Consider the following 23,247-nt stretch of genomic DNA (forward strand, 5'->3'; position numbering starts at 1 on the left):
ATGGAATAAAAAATGTTTTATCCCCTAAATTGACTACTAGATGGATAATGCTATTTCATGCCTCCATTCCTTTAAATATGCTATTTGGTCCCTTCCCCTACAGTGCAAAGCCCTCACCCTCACTCTATCTCCCCAAATATCTAATTTGTTTTCTTCCATCAAAATATATGTTTCTAGGAAGCCTTCTCTGAATCTCCAATCTGATTCTGATGCCCTCATTCATGCTCTCTCATCACCACCCCCCACTCCCTTCCTCCCCTCTAACATGCGGGGCAATGCTTGCTTAAAGGACATTGCAAACAATGGTTTTCATTTTCTGCCCCCACCACCAAACTGTCAGCTACTTGAAAATAATGGCTATATTTTACTTTACTTGACAGAGCAATGGCTTCATACAGTGCTTCAGAAATGCTTGTTGCTCAAATAAATCCATTTGAAAAATTAACCTCCTTGCTCTGTAGTTTTACCTCACATGATCTGACATACTTGTCATCTGCAGTTCAATGTCAACCCAGGAGTAATTTTACAAGAAAGATTGTGATAGTGTTGACCCTCGACGCTTATATTAGTTTTTCAACAATAATCTAAATGCTGGTAGAGAAAGAAGGCTAATACACAAAACAGTAACATGAGCTACGGAAGTGAGCCAGGACTTTAACAAGAAAACATAACTGAATTAGTCTTCAAAATGACATTGGTAACTTAAAGAAATCATTTATCTCAGAATAAAGAACTTAAGCAAATGTACACATGAGCTATTTAGGCCCATATTAGAGCTATTTCTCTATCAATGAAAAATACACCCAGAAAAGCTTACTATGAAGCACAATTCTCAGTATGTAAATCTATTATCTTGCATTAAAAATACCACACAAATAGCCTACCGCCCAGCAATTCCTTTGAGGCTATATAGCCAACAGAAATAAGTGTTTGTTTCCATCAAAATACATACATATGAGAATGTTCATAGAAACTTTATTCATAAATAGTCCCAAACTGGAGACACGCATAATGTTCACCCACAGTAGAACGTGTAAACACACTCTGGCATATTCATAAAACGAATACTGCTAGCAAGAGCAAAGAATAAGCCACAGATAACCACAACCTCATGGATCCTCACAGACATAATGGCAAGTTACAGAAGTTACAGACAAAAGACTGTATACAGTAGGGTTCCATGTGTATGAAATCAAAAAACATGCAAAAGAAATTACTGACTGAGAGAATGCATGAGGGGTATTATTGGGTGCTAGAAATATTCTATATTTTGAATGAACCTGGTGGTAATTACATGGGTATAGACATACACAAAAATTCATACGGTTGCACATTTAAGAGTTGGCATTTTATGTAAGCTTATACTTTAATGAAATTTTAAATAAATATGTTTAGATATCTCAGTCTCATAGAAGATTTAATCCTAAAATAGTAGCAGAGGGGCTTGGAGGTGAAGAAGTAGTTAATGAGCAATCCTGGTGGGGTTAGGGAGAGAGGGGTAGAGACCCTTTTGGATAAGCTGAGTAGCTATGCAAAAAAGATGATGTCAGGGCGTTGGTATCCCAAGTTTGACCCCTGAAAGGAGAGGGGCCCTGAATACTGAGGTTTTAATGTTTGCTTCCTGGGGCACAGTAGCAAAATCTTTGGAACTGATCATTCAGGGAATCAGTTACTACATAATATGTTAAGGCTTATATGAGGACACTTAATCCTGATTTTTTTTAAAAAGATGACCATATATCTGGCCGGGCATGATAGCTTGCACCTATAATCCCAGCACTTTGGGAGGCCGAGGTGGGTGGATCACCTGAGGTCAGGAGTTTGAGACCAGCCTGGCTAACATGGTGAAACCCTGTCTCTACTAAAAATAGAAAAATTAGCTGAGCGTGGTGGCGGATGCCTGTAATCCCAGCTACTTGGGAGGCTGAGGCAGGAGAATCGCTTGAACCCAGGACGCGGAGGCTACAGCGAGCCGTGATTGTGCCACTGCATACCAGCCTGGGCAATAGAGCAAGACTCTGTCTCAAAATAAAAAAAAAAAAAAAAGACCATATATCCAAGGGCCCACTCAGCAGAGACATCAGGTATATCACAAAGTAGGAAAATAAAGTGTTAGTAGGAAAAGAAGTTGTCAGATGTGAAATGAAGTTAGAATGAGTTAATGATTTTAGAGGTAAAGATGATGTGGGGCTCACAGTAGACCACAAGCAATTTTAAATATGTCAGCTGGATACAAAGAACATACATAAAAGGGGAGAATAATATAGACACTAGACAGGGCAAATTAATCCTTGCATGAAAGAAAATGCTGGGGTGTCCCTCAGTTGGGTTGTGGGGTCCTCCTAATCATTGCCTGGCCTGGCTATCTAATCCATGGAGGGTCAGATGAGACAGAGTGAGATCCACATAAATGTCTCCATACCCACTACCCATGACCAGTGGCCTGGTGGGTACATAATAAAGAATTTAAATTTAAGGACTAAACAGTGAAGTTAGCCACTAGGGTTTCTTTCTCCACCAAACTTAGAAAGTCCCTAAGGGGAGCTACGTATTGTCCAGAAATTTAACAAAAATGTAAATAAGGAAACACACAGTGCTAATGCAGGTTTCATTTCAAAGAAAAGAATTCCTGACCACAATAATTAAGAGTGAGGTTGTCTTAACTCAGGGTCTAAAATCTTTTGAAAAGTATCTATTTGAAAGAAGGCAATGGAATGCATGTCTTCTATCTGCTCTGTCCCCAGGATGTACAGGTGTCCCTTTGCTGATGAAAGGTGTAGGTGGCATGCAATAAATGGAAATGTCATATACCCTGCTTCCTGGGTAAGGTGGCCAGAATTAGTATACAGCAATAAAGGGTGCCCAGTGAAATGTGAATGTCTGGCAAACTTTTGCTCAGTTATTTCTGAACAACCACATTCTGGCTTTAACTAAAACCACATTGTTACGCTCATATTTTACACAAATATTTATTCCAAGTGGTTACAAAATAGAAACTGAGTAATAAGTTCATGACTTTCTCCCCATCCTCCATCTGCAGGCTTTCTTCAGCCAGTAAGCACATCATCTCTTTGGAATCCAGAGGTCACATTCAACTATGTAAAAGTACTTCTTATCTGAACTTTTCTCCCTAAAATTCATAACTTATCTAAATTAATGAAAAAAAAAAGACTGGGTCATATTTCTGTTTGAGGATTATGAGGTGGAGTAGGGAAGAGATGTCCTTCTCTGGATGACCTATATAGGAATAATAAACTAAAAATTCCCAGGAAAGCCCAGAAAGGTTTCTTTACAAATGTATCACAGCTGCGTGACTCACGCTTTTAGTTTTGACCTAATGGTACTTGTTTGAAAGCAGTGATTATCACCAGAACATAGACTCCACAAAGGCTAGCTTTGGTTTGGGGTATCCCCGTTCACTCTCAGAATAGTCCAGAAATAAAGTTAACAACTACCTGTGGCGACAGTGTGCTGTACCACACTGATAATGCCAACTCATGTTAAATTTTCCCTCTGACCTTGTAATGGAGGTAGGATGGGTATTGTTATTATGTTAAACATGAAGAAACAGAAGGCCAGAGCTGGAAACCAGCAGACCTCAGAGTGGACCCCTAGAAATGACTCCAAGTGACATGCCTGTCCCACCATCAGTTTCCAGGCCATGGCCCCAAGAAGAAGATGTTACTATGTTGAGTTAAAAAGCAAATGCTCGGCCAGGCACGGTGGCTCATGCCTGTAATCCTAGCACTTCAAGAGGCCGAGGCAGACAGATCATGAGGTCAGGAGTTTGAGACCAGCCTGGCCAATATGGTGAAATCCCATCTCTACTAAAAACACAAAAATTGGCCGGGCACTGGGGGGGTGCACCTGTAGTCCCAGCTACTCGGGAGGCTGAGGCAGAAGAATTGCTTGAACCCAGGAGGCAGAGGTTGCACTGAGCCGAGATTGCACCATTGCACTCCAGCCTCGGCGACAGAGCAAGACTCTGTCTCAAAAACAAACAAACAAACAAACAAACAAAAAAACAAAACAAAAAAAGATCCTTATCCATTACTTATGTCTGTCTTCATTACTGATTACAGGAGCATATTTTAATGATTGTTTGGCAGAGGGTGATCAAGTAGCAAAAGTTCTGGAACTCAGATACCTAACTCAAAACGAAACATCAAAAATGAAAAAAAAAAAATCTAGACAGTGGAGCAACCAGGAGTATCATGGTAGACAGTTACAAAAGAAAAGGGTAACACGAACATGAAAAAGTCAGTTCCCCTCCACATTTTAGTAACTAGACCGGGCAAAACACCATTTATCCTAGATGCGTAATCTCCACAACAAAATGTTCTACATTTTGGCCCCTAATCTCTACCCTTGAATGGGTAGAATGACTCTTCGTCTTTCCAAAGCACTGCAATAGAACAGAATGCCAGGGGAAATATCCATACAAGACAGCATTTATTTGGACCATTGTACCTTTAGTGAGTGACAGAGAAAAGCTAGAAAATAAATTACCACTTAAACAAATTGTTTTGTTCATATGTCTGCTCCCCCAATATTTCTCCCAGAGCACCATGGGTTACTGTAGGTGTTATCAATGATGAACTGGGACAGGAGTCATTAATGTGACCATGGACAAGGTAGCAAAGCTATAATGAAGAGATCTCCATGGTGTAATGACTGTGGTTTCCTGTCTAAGATAGCTAGAAGTGTGTTACTAATTCAGAGAGGGTCAGCACTCCACATCAACACCCAGAGGCTTCAAGATGCCCCACAGAGAATTCCACATTGCTGGATGCTGGCACTGACTAATCAAAGCATCTCACATGCCCATTCCCATTTTGCCTGAGTGATAATATGAGAAAAGAACAAAGGATAAGAGAGGAAAGAAATGACCTGAGAGTCATCCTCGTCCTTCCCCCTCTCTTTTCCCCTTTTGCACCCCTCAGGATGCAATCTATCCCCAACCCCAGCTGAGACTTCCTCCAAAATATTGCTCTAATCCATACCCATCTGCCATCGCCACTGTCACCTCCCAATTCAAATCAGCAGGAGCACCCATTTCACTTGGAAGGAGACCTCCAGTGATGGGGATCCTTTATCCAACATACACAATTAATCCCACTGCTAAAATCTTCCTTACAAACTACACTAACAGCCCTTCAGTTAGTTTCCTGTTTTTCAACGTTGGGCTCTCTTCCAACTTAATATATGGAAATCCCACTCGGAAAGTTTGCAGAAGAACAACTATTCTCATTACCATCTGGGTTCTGACCCAGTGGTCTGTACTTTAACCCAGATGGTCTTTTATGAGGGAAGGTTTGTTTGTTCGGGTGTTGGTGGTTTTTTTTTTTTTTTTTTTTTTTTTTTTTTTTTCCAGTGTGAGTTCTTCAGTGGAAACTTCGCTCTGGTTTTCCAACACTGTTTTCACAGCAGCTGGAGGGCAGAGGCTGCTGTCCTCTCTCTTGTAAACAAAAAGGCCAAGCCGCAGTCCCCGGCCACCAGGACAAACACACACTCCCGCTGCGAGGGCACCCCCATGCAGCGTGAGCACGGCAGGGCAGTGGTGGCGGAGGAAGCCGTTGTCTGCTTTCTTATTACTGCGCTGTCATTCATGCAGAAGTCAGCCCACAGATGCATCAGTGGCTTCCTTTCAAAAGGGCCATTTTCTTGAATTTATTGACTGTGCTTATAAGCTTCTTGTGTAAAGATGCTTTGCACAAGCTTCAAGAAAGAGAACTTATTTATACAAACCCATTTAAATACTGCCTCTGTAGAAAAATGTGTACGGACATCAAAATATTCAAAAACAACTATCTCTTTATATGAAGTCAGCAGCATGGGGGGTTTTAAATGCTTTATTTACTGTTTATATTTTTAAGATTATCAATGCCAACTCTACTAATTCAGAAAGTACAGTAATTCAGACAGTAGGAGGGCTGTAACTAATCTTTGCACTGCCTATGAACAAAGGATTGCTAAGCAAATTATAATGCATGAGTAAGGTTGTTCCAAGAATAGATAAATATTTGGCAAGAACTATTTTAGGTCTATTCTAGTACTTTGGAGCTACCCACTAATTTATAAATACTTGATCTACTAATTACAACACTTCTTATCTATTCATTTAACCAGGTCTCAAAGGGGCAAGGCAAGCAGCATGGAGCTTGATCCCATTGGTGATGTATGTTGGTCATTTGTTCTTGAAAAAGTACTTTCTGCTGGGCATGGTGGCTCATGGCTGTAATCCCATGGGAGATCCCTCCCTCTTTGGGAGGCCAAGGCAGGCAGATCACTTGAGGTCAGGAGTTCAAGACCAGCCTGGCCAACATGGCGAAACCCCAGTTCTACTAAAAAAAAAAAAATTAGCCAGGCTTGGTGGCAGGCAGGCAGGCACCTATAATCCCAGCTACTCAGAAGGCTGAGGCACGAGAATCACTTGAATCTGGGAGGCGGAGGTTGCGGTGGGCTGAGATCACACCACAGCACTTCAGCCTGGGTGTCAGAGCAAGACTGAAAAAAAAGGCAGGCAGAAAGAAAGAAAGGAGGGAGAGAAGGAGGGAGGGAGGGAAAAAGTACTTTCTTTCAGAAACTAAACTAAATTTCATTTTTTACAGTTTAGATTTTTTTTCCAGATTTTGTCAGAATGAGATTTCCCTCAATGATTAGTTTTCTATTGCTGCTGTAATAAATTCCCATAAACACAGCAACTTAAAACAACACCCATGTTTTAGCTCACAGTTCTGTAGGTCACAAGTCTGGGGACATAGTGTGGCTGCTTTCTCTGCTCAGTGTCTCACAAGGTGTCAGTCGGCCACGTCCTTGTCTAGAGCCCCAGGTCTTCTTAGGAGCACACGTTTGTGGCAGAATTCAGTTCCTTGCGGGTGTAAGACTGACATATCTGTTTCCTTCCTGCCCATCAGTCAGGGTCACTCACAGCTACCACAGGACACTTGCGTCCTTGCCTACGCTCCCTTCCCCCAATCGTCAAAGCCATCAAAGAAGATGCTTCCTCATGGACTGACTCTTTAGCTGGAAAAAAAGTGTCTAGCCCCTTTTAAGGGCTCACCAGATTATGGTAGTTCCACCTAAGATAATCTCCCTATTTTAAGGCCAACTATTTAGGGCTTTAATTATTATTACTTTTTTTTTTGAGACGGAGTCTTGCTGTGTCACCCAGGCTGGAGTGCAGTGGCACAATCTCGGCTCACTGCAGCCCCTGCCTCCTGGGTTCAAGTGATTCTCCTGCCTCAGCCTCCCGAGTACCTGAGATTACAGGGGTGCGCCACCACACCCAGTTAATTTTTTAAAAATATTTTTGGTGGAGACGGGGTTTCACCATGTTGGCCAGGTCTTGAACTCCTGACCTCAAGTGATCTGCTCAACTCAGCCTCCCAAAGTGCTGGGATTACAGGCGTGAGCCACCATGCCTGGCTAGGGCTTTAATTATATTTGCAAAAATATTTTCAGAGCAGCACCTACATTAATGTTAGTTTAGATAAACAGATGTAAATATACCATGATATGAAAATCTTAGGGACTATAGAGTTCTGCCTACCATTCCTTCCCATTATTCAAAATTAATATTTTTTACAAGATAAAAAACCAATTTAAATTTGTTCCCCAGCACCATTCTCCTGCTCTTGACTTAAATGTTGTTGACACTTCTTCAAGGCCAATAAATTAGTTTCATTTCATGGTTTCTCTCTCCCGAACAAGATTTTTAGTCTTCCTGAAGGCAACTAACAAGACCTGTCTTCCTTTTCTACATAAGTAACACCAGCCAGGGAAGGTTAGAAGAAGGAGTCATGAATAACAGCATAAACTATCAGAATAAAAACTATGAGACCAGGCATTGTGACTCACACCTGTAATTCCAACACTTTAGGAGGCTGAGGTGGGAGGATTGTTCGAGTCCAGGAGTTTGAGACCAGCCTGGGCAACGTGGTGAGATCCTGCCTTTATAAAAAATATTAAAGTTAGATGGGTGTGGTGGCATGTGTCTGTGGTCCCACCTACTCAAGAGGCTGAGGTGAGAAGATTGCTTGAGCCCAGGAGGTTGGCGCTACAGTGAGCAGTGTTCACACCACTGCACTCCAGCCTGGGAGACAGACAGATATCTTTTCTTAAATAATATTTTTAAAAAAAGAGAGAAAATCCAAATGGCAACATGGACGCTCAGTAGTAACAGCCCCAATGTCACAGGTATGTTCTAAACATCATCCAACACTTACAATACCCTCCCTGGCCTTCAACAACAACAACAAAATAGAGGCAATCCTACAAAGAAGATCTTACATTATCAGCACTAAAAAGTTAAACACCATTTTAATAGAATCTTTTAGGGGAATCTAATGAATTAATGTATATGTGTTTACTGCAAAGGGCTACACAAATAGATATGTCATTGTTTCTAGAGCTAACAATAATTTTTAAGCAGAGGCAGCGTTCTTAGGTATGATGACACATCCTACCTGGTCCTCCATACTCTGAATTTATCAACGTTGGCTGATTTTGTTTATTATCTCTCTGACTACCCTGTTTCTCCCTCCTATTGGAATCTTCAGAGAGTTGTAGTTGAGAAATGGAAAACTCACAAACCCACTATTTACGATGCAACAAATATTGACTGAGCCCCCACAATATGCAAGGCACTGTTCTGGGTGCTAAAGCTAGATAGATTAACAAGACAGAGAACTATCCTACTTTCAGGAAGCCCACATGCTACAGGGAAAGACAAATGACAACCCAGTGGCAATGTGGGCTAGAGATGTGGCAACTGGCCGAGCACAGTGGCTCACACCTGTCATCCCAGCACTTTGGGAGACTGAGGCAGGTGGATGACCTGAGGTCAGAAGCTCCAGACCAGCCTGGCGAATATGGCAAAACCCTGTCTTTACTAAAAATACAAAAATTAGCTGGGTGTGGTAGTGGGTGCCTATAATCCCAGCTACTTGGGAGGCTGAGGCAGGAGAATCGCTTGAACCTGGGGTGCAGGGTGAGGTGGAGGCTGAAGTGAGCCGCAATCATGCCACTGCACTCCAGCCTGGGTGATAGAGTGAAACTCCGTCTCAAAAACAAAACAAAACAAAACAAAAAAAAAAAACAAAGAAAAGAAAAGAAAAGAGATGTGGCAATTAAGGAACGCCTCCCTCATGACTGACTTTGAGCAAAAGGGGAAGATACCTTGGGAAGAGTGGTCCAGACAAAAGCCCTGAGGCCAGAGTGTTGGGAGAGGATGGGAAGGCAGCAGGAAACCTGGGGGGCTGAAGCGGGTTGAACAAGCATCTGGTGAACATGATGTGGATTTTTTCCTTGTGTAGACAGGAAGCCGAGTGCCATGATCTGACTGGACACACCAAAAAGCACATTCTGAAGGCCTGATGGAGAATAACTAGAGGAAGGAGTGGAGGGAGAGAGACTGGACAGGATTTGAAAGAGTCTCTGATTAGAAGTTGGCTGGGCAAATCTCTCCCGAACTCAAAATGAGGAGGAAACATTAACAGTTTCCACCACCTCAAAAATGATCAACAACCCGAAAAGCTTGGAACCAGGTGCAGACAGGCTACCAGACTTGTAACACAGTCAGGAACGCTACGGACGGGCAGGCATCTCACAGCTCTGACTCTCCAAGTGTAATCCTGAGGTAAGGTCTTTCAGATGGCTGCTTAAGAGGTCTTTCAGATGGCTGCTTAAGAGAAAGAGTTGCCCACCTGCCTGGCTCCCCAAGAATGATGAAGAAACTCTGTGGCGACTCTTTGAAACTTTTGAACACCGAACCGCTAACAAAGGAAGTAATAAAAAGAGCCCATACATACCAAACCAAATCTGAGGGATCTCTGAATAAATTTGGAACACTCACCAAGCCTGTGCTGCTCACTCATTCTGCCAGCTCTCAAAGGCACAAGCCACAGACCTCTTTCCACGACTTCCCTTTTGCTATGCACACATTTGCCCTTTGAGTTTGTTTGTTTTCCCTGATGATTTCAGAGAGAAAACCTCTAGCGGGCACCAATCCTGCCTGTTAATGCCTTGTAGTTCGGTCCCTAACAGAGAACTTCACAGCACTGAGCATAGACAGTAGAATATCTGCATATTGGGATCTCTGGAATGGGACCCCTGGAATGTAAAGAGTTCCTAGTGTGGCAAAATAGCCACAAGGAAAGGTGCATTACCACTGTGTCTACATGTTCAGGGTGCTCTAAGTAGAAGGAGATGCTGAGCCCAAGAGATGAAGAACTGGGAGGAAAAAAATGAAGAGATTACTAAAAGACACATATTAGAGAAACCTCAACAAAAAAGCTTAAAAAAAAAACTGTTCATTAGAGCTACTTATTCTTAGCTTTATAAACTGTACAAAGATGAAGCAATCGGAAGGGAGTAACTACATTGATTTCATTTGCTTCAGTTAAATCAAAATTTATGTGAACTTAAGATAATATCAATTGTTAGCTCTTTGGCTAATTTATCACTTTTATGGTTTAAACAAATCTGAAATGTTAAAGTGACTCACAAATCACTTTTCTATAGCATTGAATTAAGTTATCACTTTGTTTTCTCCCTGTGCACTGTTCTTCAACTTCAATAATATAATTTGATGCTGTATTCTTATTTCACTGATTTTGGACTGGAGATTTCTTGTTTTACATAAACCCTAGTGTATTCTTGACTTTTTTTTACTAAGGAAAGCGGTGACTCCTGAGTGTTAGGCAATTCCTTTAATAGAGTTACTAAAAATTTTATTACTGTATGTAACCCTAAGTATTCTGAGTGAAAATATAAAGAAACTTTCCAAGTGAAAATAAAAAGCACCTTGCTTAACTATTCTTTTCTTTTTTTTTTTTTTTTTTTTGAGACGAAGTCTCGCTCTGTCGCCCAGGCTGGAGTGCAGTGGTGTGATTTCAGCTCACTGCAACCTCTGCCTCCTGGGTTCAAGCGATTCTCCTGCCTCAGCCTCCCGAGTAGCTGGGATTACAGGCATGCACCACCACGCCTGGCTAAGTTTTTGTACTTTTAGCAGAGAGGGGTTTTGACATGTTGACCAACTGAGGAGTTGTTCTCAAACTCCTAATCTTGAGTGATCCACCCGCCTCAGGCTCCCAAAGTGCTGGGATTACAGGCGTGAGCCACCGCACCTGGAATTTTACTCTTCTTTTAATGAAGAATAAATTTAGGTCTAAAAAATAAGACCAAAGCCCATTAATCCAGACTATCTCTATGTGGCCACATCTCCCAGTAGGTGTATTCAATACCCAGCTTTCAATAAAGAGAGGAACTTCAAATTAACAATGAGATTTAAATTCTAGAGAAAGCTATACATTGGTGCTAGGCTCATTTTTTAAAAACATACCGGACCACTTCGTGGGTTCTTATTTAACAGCCTGTAAAATGCATCCCCATAGCATGGAAACATTTGCCAAGTGTTGATAGGACAGTCAGTCATAAATCTTAAGGTTGCCACAACCAAATAGAACCTGCTCATGTTGAGTATAAAACACCATCACATCTCAAAATGACTTTTCTTAATTAACAATTAGGCTTTGCATTTTCAATGTGATCACAACTCCAGTGAAATTAATGCAAACCAAACTAGTTTCAGAAATGCAAATTTGAGCCAGTGTAGGGCACAAGCAGCACTTTTTGGAAGATTCAGGACCTGAGATGCAAGGAGAAAATGTTGGTAGAAACCTCTTCCCACTCACCCTACTTGAATTCGTATTCTCCAAGGAACTTATGGTCGAAAATTTCTCTCCACCTTAAGCTATCTCTGAGGTTGTATCTTTAGCAAATTCCTTATGGGAGTTGGAAGCAAAGGAACATGAAATAAGAAAGTACTATGAACGGAATGATTGATTTTTATCTTCAAACCTGCTCGGGCTGGTCCTGTTTTGATGGCCAACTTTTCTCAGACACTAACCTGGAGTCACTAAAAAGAAAAAATTTCTTTCAGTGACCAGACACTGGGAAAACCCCAGATCCTCCAACTCCTTGCACAGCCTCCCAAGATGCAGATCAATGGCAAGGGTTGGGGAGAACTGGCATTCTACCTGCATTCTATCTGCGCAGGCACTGGCCAATTACTTGGAGAATGTTCCAGACACTGGCACAGGGCAGTGCAGGCACTTCGTGGCTCACAGCCTAGCACAGCAGGTAAAAGTTTACGAGAAGAGCATGGCTGCACAGCTCATTTACCAAAGTGAATGAAGGAGAAAAGTGCTTAAGTTTACTCAGGGTATCAAAATCAGAGTCAAATCTTAGGCTCTGATGTACGTTAAAGCTCAATTTTAAAATGCTCTATGTTTAAGTTGCTACCTCTTAACATAACAGGAAGCCATCCAGTAGTCAGTTTAAATTAAGAAGACTCATTCATGTAATATCACCACATAAGGGAGGCTGGGAGAGAGTAGGTGAAGGATACGGCTGGGGATGTGGGTTTAAATACTGGCTGTTGGTCAGGTGCTGTGGCTCATGCCTATAATCCTAGAACTTTGAGAGGCCTAGGCGGAAGGATCGCTTGGACCCAGGAGTTTGAGACCAGCCTGGGCAACATAGCAAAATCTCGTCTCTACAAAAAATACCAAAATTAGCTGAGCATGGTGGCAGGTGCCTGTAGTTCCAGCTACTCAGGAGACTGAAGTGGGAGGATCACCTGAGCCTGGAAAGTTGAGGCTGTGGTGAGCCGTAATGGTGCCATTGCACTCCAGCCTGAGCAACAGAGTGAGATCCTGTCACAAATAAATAAATACATACATACATATTGGCTCTTCAATCAACATTAGAGCAAATACTCTTTGCCTTAATTTTCCCACTGGCCAAACAAGGCTAATATTAGTTTCTCTTTCACACTGTTATTTTTGAGGAATAATTCGGTTATTGCATATAAAACACTGAGTAGCATCACATAATTAACCTCTAACAAATATTACTTGTTATTATTACTCCAAAAGGAAAATCAAATTTTCTAAATAAGAGATTCTCAAAATTTAGAGCACACAAGGCTCACTAAATTAGGGAGGTCATTACAAAGTGTAGATTCCTGGGCCCAGTCCAAGTGATTCTGAGTAGGTCTAGAGTAAGGCCCAGAGCCTGCAGTTTTAATAATTATCTCAGGTGATTCTGATGCAAAAGACGCTCAGACCACACTTTGAGAACCACTGCTGTAAAGGTAACCACAGCATCAGCAAAGACAGTGGTAGCTGCTAGGAACAGAGAGGGGTCAGGATCGGCCGGGCAGAGAGGAAAACAGTGCAGGCCTGAGCTTCCCACCTCCCTCCACCTCCAGCACCCTCCCAACCCCAATGTCAAGAGAGGCCTGCAAGGTGCAGCAGGAACCTCTTCCCATGCTGCCCCCAGGGAAGTCTACTCCAATGCGAAGAAGGGGATAGTAGAGGCAATGGACGCAACCGCTGCCTGGTAATGCCAAACACTGAGGTGGTCCCTGTGGACAGATGAGCACAGGCTCCTGCCGGTCCAACCCAGAATTGGACAAGTGGCCACACAGAGACAGTCTAGGGGGCTCTCCTCTAAAATCCAGTCTGAGGTGCTCATTCTTTTATAACTACTTAAATAACAACTAAAAATAAAAAATCTGACAGGTGCAGTGGCTGATGCCTGTCATCCCAGCTACTCAGGAAGCTGAGGCAGGAGGATCAATGGGGCCAGGAGTTTGAGACCAGCCTGGGCCACACAGCTAGACCCCTCCTCTCAAAAAAAAAAAAAAAAAAACTATTTTATTTTAACCACAACTCTGTGAAATATCTCCCTTTTTCAGAGGAAAACAAATGAAGGTTTTAAAGAGAAGTTAAGTAACATACCTAAGCCATAGCAGAGGCAAAACCTAGCAAGTCCCATTGGCTCTAGCTCTAAAATACAAAAGGAATTCCTCCCCCCACCCCCATCCCACTGCCTCACCTGGCTCCTGCGTCGGCTAAGCCACATTACTATGGTCTGGAGTACATCAAAAGCCAGCGAAGGGGTCTCCTTGCTTCCACTCCACTGCCCCTGCCCCCCACTATTTGTGTTTATTTCTGCTTCCATGTTTTTTGTCTGTCTGCCTCCACTCAATTACACGCTCCTTGAGAACAAAGACCCTTAAGTGTTCAGTTCATTCCTGTGGCCCCAGACCTCATAATGGAGCCTGCAGTACTCAATAGCTCTTTTAAACTGACCAACTCCAAAGTCCATTCTGTTTGCTAACTGTTCCTCTCATGGGGAAGAACAACTTGGGGAAAGCCCTGTTGAGCAATCCTTTGCAAACGGCCAAGTCATACTGGTATCTTAGGACAGTCACCCACTCAGCCACTCAAAAGAAAAAAGTTCAGAACAGGAAGTCAGTTTTCAGCATCAACATTTATACAAAAGAGATCCATCTGGGCGAGATGTTAGCTACTCACATTTGCTGTCCATGCCTAAGGACAACAGGTGCCATGCCCTGCCAGAAGAGCCCCACTGCTTTCTCACCTACACGGTCATGTGACAGCAACTATGCCAAAAAAACAAATGCACTTGCTTATGTGGAAAATGGGAAAAAGCAAATGATCCCTTAGAACCCAGACTGGAGGCGGGCACAGTGGCTCACGCCTATAATTCCAGCACTTTGAGAGGCCAAGAGTTTGATACCAGCCTGGCCAACATGGTGAAACACTGGGTCTACTAAAAATACAAAATATTAGCTGGGTGTGGTGGTATGAGCCTGTAATCCCAGCTACTCGGGAGGCTGAGGCACGAGAATCACTTGAGCCCAGGAGGCAGAGGCTGTTATGAGCAGAGATTGCACCACTGCACTCCAGCCTAGGCGACAGAGCGAGACTCCGCCTAAAAAAAAAGAGAAAAGAAGAAAAGAACCCAGACTGGGTCTCCCTCTCTTCCTATAGAGAAAGTTATCTCTTCCTGCCCTTGAAGACAGAAGCAATTAAGAAAAGGAGAGTAATTCTGTTTGTAGAACTGTCTATAGCAGACAAGGAAAAACTTTCATTTTAAACTAATTCCAGAGAACTGAGACAATCTGACAGCTGGGCACAGCATCTATAGAACCAGATTTCACAAAAAAAGTTGGAGAAGAAGGAAAAGCCAACTCAGCTGAAGCGATATCTCGACACATTCCAGCATCCTAGAAGATGAGTGCTTACACATATTCACCTGAACCTATGCCTTCCCTGACAGCAAAATGCTCAGGAACCACTTGTGCCTCTCCAGTGGCTGCTGCCATAATGCTAAGGCCGGCAAGCCTAAGAGTAAGACCCACAGATCCAGTGCTGGGGAATGCAGTTCCCACTTGCATAAACACTGCCCACAACCTGACTTCCTTGAAGTCTTGGGCATTGGCACATGCTTCCTCATCTTGCTTGCATTTGGCAGGATCTCTCTTTTTCATCTTTTGTTTTGTGGAAAGATGCAAACCCCAAGTAACTGCCCAGTTTGCATCGTTCTAGGCACCGTGCATGGAGGAAAAACTCTGGAAATCACTACAGAGGACCCTTACATGCAAACTGCAAAATTAAGGTGGCCTTCAAGTGTCAACAGGCTCTACAGGTGATGACAGAACTAATAATCACCACTGCTCCAACACAAGAGCCTATGCAGCCAGGTACTAGACTTGCACTCTTTCTAATCTTCGTACCAACCATGTGCAAATGGTGTTCATTATGCCTGTTTACAGATGAGAAAAACAAGGCACCAGGAGGCTTAACAGCCTTCCCAAGGTCCATACACGGAATGGAAGAAGGTTTCAAACTCAGTTCTCCAGACTTCGATGTCTTTTTTTTTTTTTTAGATGGACCCTCGCTCTGTCACCCAGACTAGATGGAGTACAGTGGCGCAATCTTGGCTCACTGCAACCTCCACATCCCAGGTTCAAGCAATTCTTGTGTCTCAGCCTCCCAAGTAGCTGGGACTACAGGTGCATGCCACCACGCCCAGCTAAATTTTATATTTGTGAAATGCCATATAAAGTGCATGATGTCTGCAAGCAGTTGTGGTTTTCCCGACCAGCTTGCTGCCACTGAGCCAGTGGTTACTTTGTCCGGCTCATTGCCACTGGACCATTTCTGTACATAAGGTGGTTCTCGTGTCCAGCCTACCACCACTGGACCCTCTCCCCTGAATTAAGCCCTTAATAAAATCCCATGTATCTTTTGCTGGTTCTGAGTCTCTTCTTTGGCCTTTTGAACTTGGCAACTACCCTACTGGAGTTATTTTCCTTTTTTTATTTTATTTTTATTTTTTGAGATGGAGTAAGACTCTGTCACCTAGGCTGGAGCGCAGTGGCATGATCTCAGCTCACTGCAACCTCCACCTCCCGGGCTCAAGTGATTCTCCGGCCTCAGCCTCCTGAGTAGTTGGGATTACAGGCACATACCACCACACCCAACTAATTTTTGTATTTTTAGTGGACACAGCGTTTCACCATGTTGGCCAGGCTGGTCTTGAACTCCTGACCTCAAGTGATCCACCCTCCTCGGCCTCCCAAAGTGCTGGGATTACTGGCATGAGCCACCACACCTAGCCTCCAAATATCTTTTTAAGACTCACTAAATCTTGAGTCTAATAAGGGAATGGGTCAGGCTTGTCATACAGCAGGGCACTGAGCAAGAAGTCTACTACCATCAGGGTCAAAAACCCAGCATGGCACCTCTGTGACACTCTCCACGTCCATATCAGAAGGCAATTGTAAGCACAGGCTTACATGTTATTCCTGACCAGAAAGAAAAGTTTGTGGCTGGCACACAACTTTTGGCAAAGACAAGTGTCTCACCTATAAAACATGTTGGCAGCTGCCCACAGGGGCTCCTCCTTTCTCTGGAGTTTTCATCTCCCTCCCTCACTTCACTTCATCTCAATGTGAACAGTGGCTAAGGTAAACATGGCTCAGGTCTCTTAGGAAGAAAAGTATTACATAAGTGCAAAGAAGAATTACTGCCCCAACTTCGGAAGCCTCCCAAACACATTATAAACTCTTCCTTATGCTATTGTAAATATTAAGGTTTGCATTAAACATTCAGGAGAGCAGCTCTGGGTATATAATTAGGGAGAGCAAATATTTGTTCAAATAAGCCTCAACGGGACCTCCTCCTTTCAACTAGCTAAAAAAAAAAAAAAAAAAAAAAAAATGTTCAAGCAGATGGATATAGGATACGAAGGCTTGGCCCAACATCTTCTCCTAGTCCTGATTACTCCACTCCTCAGAGACCCATGAATCTTCTTAACAAAGAAGAGTCTTCCAGGCCTCATACATTAGCCAGGCATTTTCTCCCAGGCCTTCCAAGCTTCCAGCTCCCTGCAGGGCCTCAGCTGACACTCTTCACAGGCACCTACTTTGCAAGGCCCTTGGTCTCCCGACAAGACAAGCAACACAAGCCAGATAACCACTCAAAGGGAGGCAGTGGAGATGGCTCTCATTCCCTGCCAGGAGGATCGCCATAACAAGGTGGCTGGAAGAACCTTCCGTGGCATGGGAACAGACAGCTGTAGACCCTGTATCTAAGTCTCTTCTTCCCGGAATTCTTATTCCACAGTGGTGACAGTGTCAAGCAGAAAAACACCACTTTTCACTACTTTACTGTCATCTTATAAATCTCAATATTTCAGCTTCACAGACAGCATCTTAGCTGATTTCACTTCATGTGCAAAAAACTCTTCCTTCCAACCAGAGGGACATATGAGTTCAGAACCCAAATTACATTCATTCTTTGAGAGGCAGATGTTTTCTGCAGATAACTTGTTGAACAATTTTTAAAAAGAAAGAGAGAGAAAAAGAAAGGGGAGGAGACATTTCTCCATTTTTACATTTCTTTCTTTTTCCTTCCTTTAGTAACTCATATGATTAAATGAACAGGGAGCTGTGATCTGCTCTATTTCATCTCCTGCTGGCTGATCAAGTTTTAAAAAAAAAGGAGAAATATGTATGCATTCATACTCACAGCTGCATGGGGATCAACAGATAAAAAAATTACTGATGGAGGAAACACTAGCATTTCTCCAACTATAAGAACTAAACTTGACACAAGTCTCTGGCCCGGCAGGATACAGCCAGGCCAGCCTGGATATTTATGTACTTGAAAAGTTAACTAAAAATGCAAACACAGTGAAGGATGAACAGAGTCAAACTATAAATGCAGATTTCAAATTCCACCAAAGTCCAGAAAAGGGATATGTTAATTGCCTATAATATGCCTTAAGTTTATCATCTATTGTAGCAGGAAGTCTCATTGCTTAAACCAACATTTCCCAAAGCATATTATTACACAGAACAACACCAGAAAGAGAAAAGGGGTTCTGTTCATATCAAATATGTTTGGCAGTGATACCACAGCCTCATCTGGAGACTCACAATCCATGAGTATAGTTAAGGCTGAGAAAATCTTCTGGAAGGAAACCCGTACAACTGTAATTAACCAGGCCTTCCCAAACACCTTTGATTAGGCTATGGAACCTACTAAAAATGTCCTGGTTATCTTGCGGAGAATACTTCAGGAAAATGAGTAAAGAAGCCAAAGTGACAGGTTTTATGGCCAGCCTAGTGGCCCTTGCTCAAGTCCCCATCCCAGCCCTTAGTTGGCCAATGGCATCCCCAATGGCCAATGGCTTCTTTTCCTAGATTGTTGTTAGAGGAAAGAGATGACTCAAATTAAGATACTGCTAAAAAGTTACAGAGCTAGCAAAGTTCTTACTCTTCTCTAAGCAAATACCATCTCTAAAAGCGGATGCTAGAACTGTGCTGCCCAATGACACAGCCACTAGCCACATATGGCTATTTAAATTTAAATTTAATTGAATTTTAAACAGCTCCCCATTTGCCCAAGCCACATTTCAAGTACTTAATATCTACATGTGGCTAATGCTTACCACGTACATTTAGAATACGTCATCATCATAAGAAGTTCTATTGGGAGGGCTACTCTAGAAAGACAAACACATCTCAGGTTTAAAAGTAAAGGCAGCAGATTTGGAAAATCTTCATTAAAAGGACTTGGATCAGCTGGGCACAGTTGCTCACACCTGTAATCCCAGCACTTTGGGAGGCTGAGCCAGATGGATCACTTGAGTCTAGGAGTTTGAGAACAGCCTGAGCAACATGGCAAAGCCCATCTCTATAAAAAATACAAAAATTAGCCAGTCATGGTGATACACGTCTGTAGTCCCAGCTACTAGGGAGAGTGAGGCAGGAGGATCACTTGAGCCTGGGAGGTTGAGACTGCAATGAGCCATGATCATGCCACTAGACCCCAGCCTGGGCAACAGAGCAAGATACTGTCTCCAAAAGAAAAGGACTCTAGATCAGGTTTCTGAAGTCCTATATTTAAAAGAAATGACCAAGCCAAATCCAGCTACATCCCTGGGGCAACAAGCTGTTTTAGTCAATCTAGATCCATGGAGCTAGCAAGTCTAATTTGCTAGAGAAAATGCTCCTTTTACAGTATCTTGTACATCTGGCAGTGACAGAAATATATCTAACTGTCGGATGCAATCAGATACAGCCAGAGCATTTTTCTACCAGTGTAATAAGAACACCCAGCAGACGGTCTGAATCCTAAATCTGAACACCACAGAACATCAGCTATTTGGACGTTAATTTGCAACTGAGTAAATTTAGTGCAGCATTAATAAATAGTCACAGGTCCAAAAAATGCTATATAGAAGATAGGGACAAATGGCCTAAGATCTGTGTCCAGAGTCACGAAGACAAACTGAGAGAGAGTGTTTTTGCCTAACTATGGGTTCTCACCATCAATTCTGCCCTTCCGCCCACTTAAAGATTTCACCCTCATTTTTTTAAGATCTTAAAAATAGATGGAGCTTTTATTCTGGTCAATCAGCAGAGTTAATGGTTTTCCACACCCCAGCACTTTTTGACATCAGATTCTAACCCACTCTAGCTCAGCAACCCAGCAGGGGCCAATCAATATTTGTTTTCAATGCAGACCATGTGTTCAGGCATCTTTGTTCCTCTCTGAGAGCCAGATCTTCTTTAGAAAAGCCAGCATGGTATGAGGATTCTCTAATCCAATCCAGGATTCCTGCTGATAGGCAACTTGTCTGTAATTCATCAATGATATCCCCTTGGGCTATGGATTTTTCTGGATTGGTGACCTGCTGGGTATGCGGCTGGTTTTCAATATGCATGGCGTGGGTGGGGACACACACTGAAAATGAAGGACGTGGTTGGCAGGGTAGCTGTACAGTGCTCTTTTCTGAACAAGCAATGTAGAGTTGAGGCATCCCCAGGAAAAGCTTACCATTTTGCCTCTCTGACTTTGTGTAGGCTTAACTTTTTGCCTAAATGACATCTCTTTCTCTCTCTCTGGCAAACTCCTTAGTTTACTGCAAATTTAAGATCCAGTTTTCATGTTGCTTCTTCAAAGATGCCCCTATGTGTCTAAGCTAATCATCCATTCTCTGCTTACCATGTATTATCATGGCATATACCATACAGCTTTGGAGATACCTATACATGCCTTCCCAACCACCTCCTTCACATTTTTATGAGCTTCATTATCATCAACTGCCATTCTCTAAGTAACCTGATGCCAAGTAACCAAGTAGGGATTCACTGTCTGCTGAATGAATAATAAATGAACGAATGGACTGGGTACCTGGAACAACTGTGGCAGATTATTTCCAGATATGATTATAGCAATATTTCTTGTCCTGGTGCTCTCCCAGAACCTTGCCACTTCTCATCAAGAAATGGGGTCTACTGCCCTTGCCTTTGAATCCAGACAGGATAAATATAATACAGTGGAAGCAAGATTGCTGGCTCCAAGGCTACTTCCCTTGGTTCCTTCTCTTAAGACGCTCGCCCTTGGAACCCAGCCACCATATGAGGAGGAACAGCCGACTACAGGAAGCGGCCACAGAAAGGTGTTCCAATGGAGAGAGCCCCAACTAAAGTCTACTGTCACCTAGCACCAACTGCTAGATATGGGTGAGCAAGCCTTCAGATCTGTGCTGTCCAATATGGTAGCCACTAGTGGGTATTTATATCTAAATTAATTAAATAAAAACTTCAATTCTATAATGGCACTAGTTACATTACAGTTGCCCTATGGCCATGTACGGCTAGTGGCTGCCATATTGGTCAGTACAGATATAGCATATTTTCATCACACAGAAAGTTCTACCAGACACAACGCTGCTTCAGATGATTTTAGCCACAGCCTTTGAGCTCTTCAGCAGAGACCCTATACATCGTGGAACAAAGACAAGTCATCTGTGCACCGTCCTATCTTAATGCTTGGCCCCAGAATCCATCAACTTAATAAATGGCTGTTTATGCCAGTAAATTTTGGAGTAATTTGTAATGCAGACTCGGTAACCAGAAAAATAATCTTTCATATTAGAATTGCTGAGATCCTTTGCAAAACTGCTATTCCTACATTTCTTAAAGCAGGATTGGAAAGGGGAAAGAGAAAAGTGACAGGCAGAGGACAAACAGAAATTGTTCAAATGGCTCATTGTAACACAATTGAACACTCAATCTCTGTCATTGAACATCTTAGCCCATTCTGGGCCAAGCAGCTAACATTTTTATAGGAGAAACAACTAAAATTTCCATCACTATCTCTTGTAGGTACAGGCCAGCAGAGCACTACTTTAATTCTGGAACACTTCTCTATAATGTTACCCAGCTCTCGCACACAATGAGAGATAAAGTGCAAGATGCCTTGAGTTCCTTCTCCATGTTACACCCACAATACCTTTAGCAGTAGCAGTCGTTAAACAGGGAATACCATTTGAGGGAAGTGGCACCCCTCTCAAAATCCTCAATTGCAATGAAGCTCATTAACTAGGGAAGAGGGAGAGTCTTCTTCTGCATGTCTGGACAATTTAAAGTGGAGATGCTCAAATTGAGGCATTGATTGGCCCTTCCCCGTATGGTATAGTTGTCATACTATATATATATATATATACACACTTTATATATATATACTTTATATATAATATACTTTATATATATATAATTTTTTTTAACAAATCGTCATAACACACCAAAAAGGGGTAATTTTCAATTTTCAGTCTGACCAACTTGGATATGTTGATGGATGTATATTTAGAGTTCTACTCCTACCTACTTTCAGAAAGAATTTATATTTATTTACAATAAGTACATAAGGTACAATAAACCCCCAAAATCATGAATATAGACCAGGGTTGAGAACCTCTGTCTCTAAGGGGCCAGATTTGGCTGGTGGTCCATAGTTTACTAATCTTGATATATACCTAGGGATAAGTGGTTAAAGCCACTAACTCAAACAGAAATTGCTTTGAGAAAGAGATCAAGAAAGATAAAAACAAACTGGCTAAACCAAAAAATACAATTTCCATTATTCAGTAGAGGTACAGAATAGTAAACAGCCTACTCTGTGCTTGGTCTGAAACATTAGCTCAGATGAGCTCATTCTGATGATATTTTATAAGTTAATAAGTACTCTGAACCCCCATGGTTTTAATACAAAGCTGTCTTTCATTGGGGCTCACCTCTGCTCCCCAAGGAACCCCCAAGATGCCTCATCCCCAGTGAATCACCCTGACTGAGCAGCCTTTCCTTCCCTGTAACATCCTTCATGGTTCAGTTTTATGCTTTTGCAAAGGATCTATCTTCTTTGAGAGAGGAAACCCACTGCCATTCCTGCATATGGAGAAATTCTGCATTTTATTTTACTTTTTTTTTTTTTTTTTGAGACGGAGTCTTGCTCTGTCACTAGGCTGGAGTGCAGTGGCTCGATCTTGGCTCACTGCAACCTCCGCCTCCTGAGTTCAAGCAATTCTCCTGCCTCAGCCTCCTGAGTAGCTGGGATTACAAGTGCCCACCAACATGCCCGGCTAATTTTTGTATTTTTAATAGAGACGGGATTTCACCATGTTGGTCAGGCTGCTCTTGAACTCCTGACCTCGTGATCCACCTGTCTCAGCCTCCCAAATTGCTGGGATTACAGGTGTGAGCCACCACACCCAGCCTATTTTACATTTTTAAAAGACAAGGTCTTACTCTGTTACCCAGGCTGGAGTACAGTGGCACAATCATAGCTCACTGCAGCCTCAAATTCCTGGGCTCAAGCGACTTTCCCACCTCAGGCTCCCGAGTACACTAAGACAACAGGTATGTGCCACCAAGTCTGGCTAATTTTAAAAATACTTTGTAAAGACAAGGTCTCCAACTCTTGACCTCAAGTGATGCTCCCTCCTCACCTCCCAAAGTGCTGGGATTACAGGCATGAACTATTGTGCCCAGCCTAAAATTCTGCATTTTTTAAG

At 42.6% G+C, this 23,247-nt stretch overlaps 1 protein-coding gene across 1 annotated transcript in view, besides 2 other annotated features; it reads right to left on the bottom strand.

Moving 5' to 3' along the window:
- Positions 1 to 23,247, bottom strand: part of EXT1 (exostosin glycosyltransferase 1) — a 317,337-nt gene that overhangs the window by 180,872 nt on the left and 113,218 nt on the right. The gene's annotated exons all lie outside the window — the stretch shown is intronic.
- Positions 4,663 to 4,722: a silencer, noted in NCBI's record as "silent region_19477". NCBI's record gives its function as "represses an Ori minimal core promoter by ATAC-STARR-seq in GM12878 lymphoblastoid cells {active_cell/tissue: GM12878}" and the evidence as "EXISTENCE:reporter gene assay evidence [ECO:0000049][PMID:35858748]".
- Positions 14,262 to 14,401: an enhancer, noted in NCBI's record as "active region_27835". NCBI's record gives its function as "activates an Ori minimal core promoter by ATAC-STARR-seq in GM12878 lymphoblastoid cells {active_cell/tissue: GM12878}" and the evidence as "EXISTENCE:reporter gene assay evidence [ECO:0000049][PMID:35858748]".

The sequence above is a fragment of the Homo sapiens genome, chromosome 8 (genome assembly GCF_000001405.40).
Source record: "Homo sapiens chromosome 8, GRCh38.p14 Primary Assembly".
Taxonomy (NCBI): domain Eukaryota; kingdom Metazoa; phylum Chordata; class Mammalia; order Primates; family Hominidae; genus Homo; species Homo sapiens.